The 12975-nt window shown below is 41.8% G+C and overlaps 1 protein-coding gene across 4 annotated transcripts in view, besides 1 other annotated feature; it reads right to left on the reverse strand.

Moving 5' to 3' along the window:
* Positions 1 to 12975, reverse strand: part of SLC9A9 (solute carrier family 9 member A9) — a 583247-nt gene that overhangs the window by 158663 nt on the left and 411609 nt on the right. The gene's annotated exons all lie outside the window — the stretch shown is intronic.
* Positions 6017 to 6537: an enhancer, noted in NCBI's record as "OCT4-NANOG hESC enhancer chr3:143148743-143149263 (GRCh37/hg19 assembly coordinates)". NCBI's record gives its function as "activates a minimal SCP1, AML or CMV promoter by ChIP-STARR-seq in naive H9 embryonic stem cells {active_cell/tissue: H9 hESC(naive)}" and the evidence as "EXISTENCE:reporter gene assay evidence [ECO:0000049][PMID:30033119]".

Consider the following 12975-nt stretch of genomic DNA (forward strand, 5'->3'; position numbering starts at 1 on the left):
GTTTTTCCTGTCAGCAATGTACAGTCTGAATGTAATCATGAGGAAGTATCAGAAACACCCAGAATAAGGGATCTCTACAAAGTATCTGACCTGTAATCCTTAAAAATATCAAGGTCATGAAAGTTAATGAAAGATTTAGGAACTGTTCCAGATTAAAGGGGACTAAAGGGACACCAGTAAATGTAACACATGATTTTGAATTTCAGCCTTTTGATTTAAAGGGCTGAGTGAACATGTGAAACCTGAATGATTCTGGTGGTTGCATTGTGGTTACGTAGGATTCTGGTTTGTCATAATTAGATGTTAGTGTATTTGAAAGTGATGAAGGATCAAGTGAACAACTTACTGTGAAAAATTCAAGAAAAAAAGGACATTATACTTGAAACCTTTTTTTTTTTTTGAGACAGAGTCTCACTCTGTCACCCAGGCTGGAGTGCAGTAGCACGATCTCAGCTCATTGCAAGTTCCGCCTCCCGGGTTCACGCCATTCTCCTGCCTCAGCCTCCTGAGTAGCTGGGGAGTAGCTGGGACTACAGGCGCCCACCACCACACCCGGCTAATTTTTTGTATTTTTAGTAGAGACGGGGTTTCACTGTGTTAGCCAGGATGGTCTCAATCTCCTGACCTCATGATCCACCTGCCTCCGCCTCCCCAAGTGCTGGGTCTCAATCCCCTGACCTCATGATCCACCTGCCTCTGCCTCCCCAAGTGCTGGGTGATCCATCTGCCTCGGCCTCCCAAAGTGTTGGGATTACAGGCTTGAGCCACTGTGCCCGGCCTGAAACCTTTTAAAGTTTGATATTTTTCACAATAAAAAGTTATCTTCCCAAGAATCAAAAATCTCAAAACAAAAGCAAGAAAGAATACAGATGCTGCCAACAGGGAGAGGAGTGAGGTGGTTAAAAACACAGGTGCTGGGTTTTAATTTTAGCTTTGCCACTTATTAGCTATATGAAACTAGGCCTACGTTATCTGTGTCCCAATTTCCTGGTCTGTAAAATAGGGATGATAATAATAGCACCAACCTAGGGTCCTTGTGAATTTAATGAATTGGCAACCACACAGTACTTAATAGCATGAGTTCTATAATCAGTGCTGAATACTGTTTGTTGTTTTTATTAGAGGGAGGCAAAATATGATTCTATGTGATCCATTTTCCCCTCAGGGCATTTGCCAGGGAGAACAGTCTGTTGTGCTCCTTCTGACTTGTTTGGAAGGGTATACTTCAGCTAAAAACACTTGCCATGTGGTCAATCCAATTATTCAGGTAGAGGGTTATATATATCGATTTAATAAATGGAGGAAGTTTAAAATTAACAGATATGTTTATAATCATTTGGTGTACACTTAGTTTTGATGTGGGGACCAATGAGGCTTAGCTTTTTTTTTTTTTTTTTTTTTTTAAGTATAATCATCGTATCAGGACAAAATATTGTATTTGGAATAACCTGGGCATCAGGATGAAGAAAAAGTGATCACACTGACAAGATGTCTGTTAAGCTTTAAAAATATATATGTATGGTTTATTATAAAGAATTAAAGTATATCCACTACCAAGAATGGCTGTCGGTTAACAATGAACATTTTTAAATGGCAATTAAAACAATGTACTGGCTGGAATGGAAATATAGACAGCACTTTGATGTGGACTCTTTACATTTATTCCTTTTCTGCTCCTTGGGTACTTAATGTCAAACTGAAAAAATGAAATATAAGGGGCTGTTTGAGTTTGAGAATGGGTAGTGAGGCTAATATTTTGCAAGTCCTTTTTGATGCACACTTTTCTGGTCCATCTCCACTAATCAAATTCAGTTTCAAGAACCCAGAGTTCTTTTCCAGTTAGCTTCGGTTGACATGAGAACAGATAGCCTCTGACAAGGCCTTTTTACTCTCTCATTTGACAGTCCTAAAATGTTACTTTAAAACATTTTAGAAGGTTCACAATGACTGTTGCTAACATGACAAGATATGCTCCATCCACCCCATAGAAAAGGGTGAAAAACTCCATCTGGAGCTGAACTCTGACCTTGACCCAGGGATCAATCCTTCTTGACTACGCACCTGCTCCACACTAAAGAGCCACAATGGCTTTTTTTTTTTTTCCTAAAAAGACAGAATTTTTGATGTACCTTCAAGATTCCATTTATATCAGTGACATAATGGTGTCAGCTCTTTGAAGGAAGAAAGAAGAACAGGCAGAAACTAGTATTATATCGTTAAGTGCCCAAGAATCAATTACATCCTTGCTGAGACAAGAGGCAATTTTCCCATTTAAACTTCACAGATGTACGGACTGGCAAATTATTGTTGGGTTGTTGCTTCTTTTATTATAATTAACAATTAAAAAACCCATGTTATAATGTAATTAGCTGTTTACTGGCTCTTATTGGCACAGGTTGTAGCAGAGACTTTACTTTCAAGGATACGAACTACTAAAAAAGCATTTTAATCAACCCTTTTATATTCAGTCACTAGTATAGAACTATTTTGGCCCCACAATTAAACCACTGGAAATTTCTAGGCTCATTTGGATTTCTAAGAAACATCTTGTGGAAACCTATTGTTTCCTTTCTTAAAATACCCAGCTCAGAGTTTATTGATTCTCCATTTCTGGAAAATGTAGTAGCAATTTTTCTAGCCTTTTTGTCCTCCCTTTTGTTCTTGTTCATCCCTAAATAATTTAAAAAATATCAATTTAGGCTCATATTCTTAATGTTTTTCAAATATACCTGCATGCAGCATGCAGAAAAAAACATTTTTGCTCAGGGTCAAGTAGGCATTGTTTGATCACCCAGTGCCATGTTGGAAAAAGGAACTAGAAATGGGAATTATTTAGGTTAATAGAAAACTGTTCATAATTATGAGAGCTAACATTTACTATGCACCAGGCACTGTTTTGAGTACTATACTTGCTGTTCACATATTAACTCATTTAATCCTCACAAGGACCCTCTGAGATAATTTGTTATAATCCACAGTTTACAACAGAGGAAATGGAGCTGCCCAGAGGCTGAGTAACTAGGCCATGGCTATAGAACTTGTAAGTGGCAGAGCTGGGATTCAAACACGGGCAGCTGACCCCAGAGCCCACACTTAACAGCCGCTACAGTTTACTGGTATCTACAAGGCATTATTGTGACTGTTAAAGCAAGGCCCAATCAATGTTTGTTTTTAAAAACAACTCATGAAAACAAAGTAAAAGTTTAAAAAGCAACTACTTTGTATGCTATCAGCACTGATGGGATTACTGAGGAATGTTTCACTTGCTTACTCTGTGCCAGGCTAAAGCATGACATAGGTTAAAATGCCCAGAATATATCCATGGAAATGATGGCAAAACTTTTGCTTGTGTAAAGCATTCATGCACATAACAGATCACTGAAATTGCCCATATTGCCTTATGTGGTCTCAGACTCTAAATCTAAGAAATGATACCAGTATATTTTTGCCACATAATTAAAACCATATAGATATAAATATTCAAGCTACTTTCCACATATTTAAAAAACTATTCTGAAATCATCTTCCTGTTGCATCAGGGCATCTCATGTAGAGAAGCAAGTGATCTCCAATAATTAGCAAGTAATCTACTTCTTACTTGTATCCTATCCTTTTACAAAGTAGGACTTGAGTCAACTCACAAGAAAAGATTTTGAACAAGGACAAGCATTATATGCAATTTTTAAAAAAATCATGGGATGTGGGGCATATAGAAAATGGTGGTTTCAGAAAACTTAAGACTGGACATAGATACTACAACTGAGCTGGCATTTCATCCTTAAAGGGCCACAAGGCAATGGTGTGATGTTGGTGAAATGTGCCTCAGGTTCTGATAGTTCATCTTTTATCCTTGTTCCCTATCAGGCTGCTAGCACTTAATGCTGATATTTTTCTCAGTCATGTCTCCTGGGGTTGCTTCCCTCAGGGTCTCTTACTTGGCTGTCAGCTCATCTTTCAGAAACCACAACTTGGTATCTGCTCAAGAAACTACCCCTCCCCCATGCAGAAGAATAAAACTGGACTCCTGTCTCTCACCATATATACAAATCAACTCGAAAGGAACTAAAGACTTAAATGCAGGATGCAGATTATGAAATTACTAAAGGAAAACATAGGAGAAATGCTTCATGAAATTGAGCTGGGCAAGGATTTTTAAAAATAAGAAAGCACAGACAACGAAACTAAAATTAGACAAATAGGATTACATCAAGCCCAAAAGCTTCTGCACAATGAAGGAAACAAAGTGAAGAGACAACCTAGAGACTGGGAGGAAGTATTTGCAAACTATACATCTGACAAGGGGTTAATATCCACAGTATATGGGGAATTCAGAACACTCAATAGCAAAAAAAAATCTGATTAAAAATGGATAAAAGACCTGAATAGACATTCTGAATAGACATTTTTCAGAATATACAAATATTCAACAGACATATGAAAAAATACTGAACATGCCTAATCATCAGAGAAATGCAAATCAAAACCACGATGAGATATCACCTCACCCCAGTTAGAATGCTATTATCAAAAAGACCTCCCCACCCCAGAAAAAATGCTGGCAAGGATGCAGAGTAAAAGCAATTCTTTATACATTGTTGGTAGAAATGTAAATTAGTACAGCCATTATGGAAAATAGTATGAAGGTCTCTCAAAACACTTAAAAGCAGAAGTACTATATGATCCAGCAACCCCATTAGTGGGTGTGTATCCAAATGAAATGAAATCAATGTCACAGAGACATCTGCACACCCATGTTTTCAGTGTACTTCACAATAGTCAAGATATGAAATCAACCTAAATGCCCATCTACAGATGAATGAAGACAGACACATACACACACACAGACACACACACGAATATTAACCATAAAACAGAATGAAATCCTGTTATTAGTGGCAACACAGATGAACCTGGAGGACATTACATTAAGGTAAAGAAGCCAGACACTGTGATCTCACTCATGTGGAGTCCAAACAGTTGATTTCCTACAGGTAGAGAGTAGAATAGTGTCCACCAGAGGCTGCAGAGGGGTGGGGATGGGGATCAGGAGGAGAGGCTGGTCAATAGGTACAAATGTTAGAGTTAGGAAGTTTTGGTGCTCTATTACACAGTAGGGTGACTACAGCATGTAAAGGTGAAGTGTACATTTCATGATAACTAGAAGATTTTCAGTGTCATCACAATGATAAATGTTAAAGTGATATGGTAATTATCCTGATTTGATCACGATACTATGTATACATGCATTGAAATATCACATTGTGCCCCATAAATATGCATAATTATGTATCAATTATAAATTAAAAAAGAAATTACCCCTCCCAGGAGAGCTTAGAGTAGATGAGAGCACTTGAAAATGTGTTACAAATATTTATTGTTAGTATAAATGGGACATTTAGCAGAGGAATTTCTTTAGGAACTGAATCAAATGGTAACTCAGGCAGCTATGGTAGGCTGTGAGGATGTTTGGATGAGGTATGGAGTAAGAGTCCAACTTGAGATGTCATAATAGGACTGTGTGAAAGCAGCTTTTGCCTGACAATAGGAAGAGAAAAGGAGGGGAGAAGGTAGAACAGATAAAAGGCAGAGCCTGGCGGAGTCTATTTGTAAGGAGCAGAGTGGAAAGAGAAGTCCATCCCTGCTACCTTTCTAACCACAGTTCAGGCAGTTCATTTTTACATACACTTAGTGAACCAGACATGTCTCTGCTCTCAGCAAGCCCACAGTCTAGTGGATGATACCAAGAGGCAGCTTCTCTCCATCACTCTGCACATCAGATACCTGCTTGCAGAGGTCTGAGAGGAGGGGAGTGCACACCCAGATGGAGATCACCCCTCCAGAGGGGGAGGCTGAGTGTGTGTGGAGTCCTAGTCCTCAGAGCGTGTGTAGGATGAGGCTTCTGCATCAATGCCACGCATGACAGCAGCTAAGCGCTAGTAATACCAGAAGTCAGTACACAGTCAAGTTGTGTTCTCTCACTTGGCCATATAGACCAGGAGAGCAAGGAGGGCCTTAGAGGTCATATCTTTCAAATTTGTTACTTTACAGATGAAGAAACTGAAGCCCAAAAGATGTACTGATTCACTGGATCATGAATGGCAGAGCTAGAAACTGAAACCAGCCACTCTGGTGCCCTGCCCATTCCAAGTTTAGGTTCAAGCCACAGCGGCTTGACAGCTATTAGAATAAGAATGCATCTAGGGGAGAGGGCATTTTCAGTCTTATCAGTTGTTTACACTTCAAAGTTAATGACTTCATCAGAACCTTTTGGAGAACAGATTTGGAAAGAGGGTGAAGAGAGATAGGCACCTGGGATCAAGGAAAACAGGTTGTGACCACCAAAGTCAAGCTTTGCTGACTCCCAGTGGGGCTCATTAATGCACAGCCACAAGTTCTGACCCCATCCCCCAGCCTGTGTGTCTTAATGCTTTATCACTTGGAAGGGGAGGATAGAAACCTCTTTTGACAAAACAGAAGTGACTGCCAGAGTCCCAAGGAAATTCTGAGGGTTACATACACTCACACACACCTTTCTCTTATGGAGAGGCAGATTCCATTGCTGGCATAGGGCCTGGTCCCTACTGTTGAATCAGTGATGTTCACAGGCATGCAGGAAAGGCGGGACTTGGAGGCCCTAGCTAGTCTACCTGGGGCCCTGTGGAAGGGGCAGGGCAGTGATAGCCATAGTGGAGAGTGGGTGCTTCAGCAGCTGTTCTTTTGCTGAGCCCAGATCTGAGAGGGGGAGGCCAATGAAGCTGCATGTGGCCCTCTGGGGGAAGCATCATCTTCACTCACATTGGATAGATTTAAGAATTTGTGTTGGCACTGTTGGTTAGCTGACATACACCATATCCACCACCCTTTCAGCTGAGCCACCTTCCAGGTGGGCATGGTCACGTGACCCAGTTGGGCTAGGCAGACTCAAGCTGAAGTCTGTTGGGTAGGGTTTCTAGGAGATTTGCTTTCCCAATTTAAAAAAGGGAGAGCTAGATTCACCTGACATGCTGCTCTCTTCCTTTTTCCTTCCCACAACATGGATACACAGCAGCACTCTTTAGAACCAGCACAAGCCATTACAACAAGGATGACAAAAAGAGCCTCATCACTGATTTTATCCACTAGTTTTGGACTGCTTCCTCTAGGTTTCCTAATACATGAGAAAAATAAGAACCTATTTGTTTAGGCCACATAGTTGGGCATTTTCTTGGCTTTATAAAAGGCATCAGTCCTGGTGGTACTCAAGGCCTTTCACAGTCTGGTGCCCCTAAATCTTTCTCATCTCACCTCCTGCCATCTGCCTTCCTTCTCTAAGTCCCTTTCCTTCAATTCACAAGTCACAGCCCTGGGAAGCCTTCCCTGGAAGAACTAGTTGCACACAGTGCTTTGAGCTCCAGCTTCGTTTATGCCACTATAGCACATAGAACCATGAATTATTTGTTGATTTTCCCAGATTCCTGCAGTCATCTCTTAATTCAACTCTCAGCCCCTACCTTTGCCTCCCTGTAGAATACAGTGTATTCTCAAGACAGCAGAGGAGTTCTTTCAAATTGCCAGTTAGATCACATCCCTTGTTGCGAAATCCTCCAGTAGCTGCCCCCACCTTTTTTTTTTTTTTTGCGATGGAGTCTCGCTCTGTCACCCAGGCTGGAGTACAGTGGTGCAATCTTGGCTCCCTGCAAGCTCCGCCTCCCAGGTTCAGGCCATTCTCCTGCCTCAGCCTCCTGAGTGGCTGGACTACAGGCACCCGCCACCATGCCCGGCTAATTTTTTGTATTTTTAATAGATATGGGGTTTTACCGTGTTAGCCAGGATGGTCTTGATCTCCCGACCTCGTGACCCAATTCTTAAAGTGAAAGGCCGAGTCCTTACAATGGCTTATAAGGCCCTGTATGATCTTCCCACCCCTCTTACTTCTCTAAACTCAGCCCCTCCTACTCTCCTACATGCTCACCCTTCAGCCTCACTGGCCCACTTGATGTTCCTCCAATTTGCCAGGTACATCTCACCTTACAGTCTTTGCATAAGCTATTGCCACTGCTAAAATGCTCTTCCTCCTCCCAGTCTTTACTCAAGAGATAACTTCTCAGTGAGGCCTACTTGGACTACCTAATTCAAATCACAGCCCAATCCCATCCCTATAACCCAGCCTCCATTCTCTCTTCCTCTGCTCAATTTTTTTTTCTGTACCACTTATCACCTGATATACTATATAATTTGCCCATTTGTTAAGCTAATTTCTCACGGCTTATTTTCTCTTGCCAAAATGAAAACACCCTGAGCACAGGCATTTTTGTTTATTTCAAATGCTCAGAACAGTGCTTGGCACACATGTATTTGTTAAGTGTGTGAATAAATTGATTTGTATAAGATGACTACACACCGGGTAATTACTATGTTCTAAACTCTCTCAGCTCCTGATGATGTATGTAGTGGGAACAGGCCCTGGAAAGGTTCTCAGTGCAGTAAACTCTTTGCCCATTCCAGTTACCTCAACTAGACTAGGCTCATTAATAGGCACAGGGCAAGTATTATCAAATACAGGAAAAATGAGAACTGCAACACTGATTTCTGAAAAACTATCTCATTACAATCACATTCCTACTTCATGCAGAAAAGGAAAACTGGAACAGTTCCAGGGTTTGGAGAGCTTTACCGAGAAAAGGTTGTTAAAACAAGCAGGCTGCCCTGGAATCAGTATTTGAAGGGCTCTCTTCCCCCTAGAATGGTGGCCACCTGGCTGATCTTGCCCACATTATTTTTTTGAGACGGAGTCTCATTCTGTTGCCAGGCTGGAGTGCAGTGGCGTGATCTTGGCTCACTGCAACCTCCGCCTCCCAGGTTCAAGCGATTCTCCTGCCTCAGACTCCCAAGTAGCTCGGACTACAGGTATATACCCCCACACCCGGCTAATTTTTGTATTTTTAGTAGAGATAGGGTTTCACCATGTTAGCTAGGATGGTCTTGATCTCCTGACCTCATGATCCCCCCACCTTGGCCTTCCAAAGTGCTGGGATTACAGGCATAAGCTACTGCGCCTGGCCTCTTGCCTGCATTTTATTCCAACTGAAGGCATTTCTTACCTTTGGACTCAAAACATGCTCTGATTAGACCAGCAGCACCAATCAGCCCTGGTGGTGTTTCAAAGAACTTTCCTTCCTTTGAACTTAACAGTGAAAGGGAGGTTAGCCTTAACAATGAAAGGTTATTTAGATATATCTTTTTGGCCAACCCTTTTATGCAAATCTAACTGCACTTGATGACAGAAATCAATCTTGATAAGTTTGCTCTTGATTTCATGGAAGGGTGGACAGTTCATGTAACAAAGTTTTCTTTAGTTTCCTGACGTGTTTCAGGGCAATAAGAAATCCTATCGACTTTGAAGCTTTTTAAAAGAGATGGTTGCTGGGTTCTTTGGGGGGAATTTATCCCACAAACAGCATGAAGATTTATTTTCATTCAAAAAATTGTGATTTTTTTGTGTGTTTTGACTCTGCTTATCTCTTCAGTGGAAAAGTACTTTGTAACTGATAAGCACTTCAGCAGATCAAGGAGATTCATTACCCTGGCAGTTTTTCATTTTCAGATAGAAATGAGTAGAAATTATCCAATTTCTCTTTTTATAATAACGTCCAATACATTTAGTGTTCAATTTCACACTGTCCCTTGATTTATAGCATTTGCCAGATTAATCGAGATCTGGTGATATTATAAAAGGTGGGGGTGTTCTGTTAACCCTTTAAGCCCAGGAGGCAGGCATACAGAACACCATGGGAAATACACTGACTCTGAAACATACTCCAGAAAGCAATTAACTTATGTTCTATTCGTGTTTCTATCTTGTCCTACCCAGCTCCAAATCTTGAGGAAATATGCAGATTCCTGACAGCAGCAGAATCTTTCAGAAAGGAGTCTCAGAAAACTTTATTAGAACCAACTGGAAAGTAAGCTGGAAGGTGCATATGAAACCTTTCGAATTCTGATGGTTTTGAAGTATAGATAACCTATATCTTCTATACCTTTGCATGCCAGGTTTTTATGAGGAAGACTTGCCTTTCACTGTCTACCTCTCTAGGGGGCGCTGTGGTTTGGATGAAGCTTTCCTGGCTCTGTCACCTACCTCTTAACTTCATCTCTCTGGGTCTCAGTGTCCTTATCTTTAAAATGGACACAATAAGATGAAAAGTAAAGTATATGGCACATAGTAGCACTGTATAATAATACCCCCCAAACACTAAATTTCCCTTAATTTAGGCAATGTTTACAGCTCAAGTCCTAGCATCTTTCTCAAGGTGGCTCGTGAACTAAAGTGTGCAATGGTATGCAGACATGTGAATACAGTTCTGTCTGCAAATATATTGAAAATCATTCGATGACAGAAACTAGGTGTTAAATTGTGTTCCTTTGGTTTCCTATATAATGTAACTGCTTCATAGATATTTAGTGATGAATAACTTAAAAGAGAAAGAGGGGCAGAAGGAAAAAAAAGAAACCTCATGGGTTATCCTTTTTGCTTATTTGATAATTCCCTGTTTAGATTTCATTATGCTGGCAACTCCTGCAGTTCCTCTGGGCTGAAGAAGTCCTCCTGGAAGAGCAACCTGTAATTTTCCTTTCCAGTGTTCGATTGCAACTTCTAACCACCGTAGCCCCTTCATGCCAGCTTCAGCCAGTCTGAGGGCACAGGCTGGAAAAGAGAATCCTTTCCACTCCTTATTTCTCCAGAATACGCCTATGCTGCCTCTGAAACACCTCCGGCCCATCCCCCCCATCTCACAGCTACTGCCCTAGGTCATCTTATCTCACCTGGATTCAGTCTCATAAATGCCTCTTTCCACCCTGGTCCATGCTAACCTCTGCTGCTGGATCAGTTTGATTCAGGTATAGCTCCCCTGACTGGGGAACTAAATCCCTCAGCCTAGTCCCCATCGTCCTCCATTACCTCTCCACATTCAGCTCTCTCAACCTCACCTCCTTTTCTTCATGTCTCCCTTACTTCATCCTAATCAAGCTCATGTGGTCCACCCCACGAGCCCCTTCTGACCTCCCTGCCGCTGCTCATTTTAACCTATTCCCTGGTTGCCCAAATCTACCTTGTCTGCAGCCCAGGCCCTGATTTCTCTCAGGCAGGGCTCTCACGCCCCGCCGTCATCAAGCTTTTCCATCCATCAGCTGGGGGAAAATGGCTTCTGCTGGCATCCCTTGACCTTATCAAGACCTCTTTTAAAGTATTTATCCTTCTCAATTTTGTCTTATATTTTATAAAATATTATCTAATATTTTATATTACAAAAAATTGTATTTTCGTATGCCTTTTCTCTTCTACCTGGTTATACTGTAAGCATCTTGTAGCCAGAACTCATGACTGGTTTGTTTTTGAATTTTAAAGAAGTTTCTTTTGCACTATAAACCCAATTCACCTGATTCTCTGAGTTGGAGGAAAGGCATTGGTCGATAGTGAGAGCCCTTGGGTCCAATGGCGTTGTGTTTCTTAGTGAAGTAGGTAACAAAGTCAAAGTTTTCAAAGTAAACAAGCTTTAAATACTTAAGAAAAGTAATTTAGTTCTTCAAAACTATTAAAATGTGGCTTATATATTTTCACTTCCAGTTATAGTTCTATGGCAAACTTTACTATTCAAAAAATTACTGACTCATTACAGAAAATTGGGAAATGCAGAAAAGTGGGAGCAAGGAAAAATGTCTTCACCTTGAATCCAACACATTGCCTGACACGTTAGACTTTCACTATGTTATCTTAAAGGTAGGAATCAATGACATCAAATTTTTTGGGTGATATGGGGCCTTGGAATGAGAGGAATGTATGCTGGGGTGGGTTTCAGAAGCAGCCAGTTCAGTGGCAGGATTTGTGGGGTGATAGGAAGCCCCACTGAGACATCTCCCCAAAGCCCCCTAGCTTAGTGCCACACAGCCTGAAACAGTACACAAGTGTCCTCCTCTCCACTCTGCTCTGCCAACTCAGTAATACACCTGGAGGGTTAACAGAGTTACACACAAAACAGGATTGCTACCCTCCCTGCAGGGGCTGCCTGGGCCAGTGACAGAACTAGGAGAAATCATGTAGAAAGGAAAATTACAGACACAACAATCCTTTACCCAGCTTTTCTATCTAACCAGTCCCATGGGCCCAACCCATGTTTCTCCACCCTTCCTCATCCTCAGATCAGGCCTTTCCTTCTGCCCTTCTGCTCTTCTCTTGCTCCGAGTTCCATCAAATCAGCCCTCACAGTACCTGTCCGGACATCAGGGCTGGGGGTGTCCACTGGTACCGGGAGAAGTGGGCTTGAACCTCCACGAGACTTCCACATGCGACCTCGTCTTGCGAGCACTGGGCAGTGGTCCAGTCCTACTGCTGGCAGGGTCACCGCATGACCTCCTTCTCACAGGCATGCCCCCTCTCCTGCCCTAACAGGCTAATGAGCCAGACGTTGACGGTGAAAATTTATTATGAGAGCACTTAGTATTAGCACTAGGAGGCCCTGTTGCTCATCACTGCTCACAAAACATTTTGAGGCCTTCAGCTGGAAAGTGCTATAATTGCAAAACAGCCTCAGCCAGATCTCGTTCAGTCCATCAGAAACTGATAGGTGAGTTACTGTTCTGTTCTAATGAGTCCCTTCCAATTTGGTCAGATGATTTGTGAAAATCAGATCAGAGGCAAAGTCTTGCCTTCTTCCTGGTACAGATGGAAGAAGAAACTGTGAAAGTGAGGCTGTCCTGGATTTTGGTACAATACAGCAAAATAAAACATTGCCTTGTTACGGACTGTAATTTGTGACTAATTAGGTATAAATGCATTCTGGCTGGCCAGCTCCAATCTAGAGGTCAGCTGGTGTGTTTCCTAATGGACCAGCAAGAGAGAAGGCAAATGCTCATCACAGGGAAATGAGTGTCCTCAGCTGGGATGAGTTGGCTGTGTCTTTGTCAGCACTGCCACTCTGCCTAGGTGGGGTCTTCCTG

This window comes from Homo sapiens, chromosome 3 (assembly GCF_000001405.40).
Source record: "Homo sapiens chromosome 3, GRCh38.p14 Primary Assembly".
Lineage (NCBI taxonomy): Eukaryota > Metazoa > Chordata > Mammalia > Primates > Hominidae > Homo > Homo sapiens.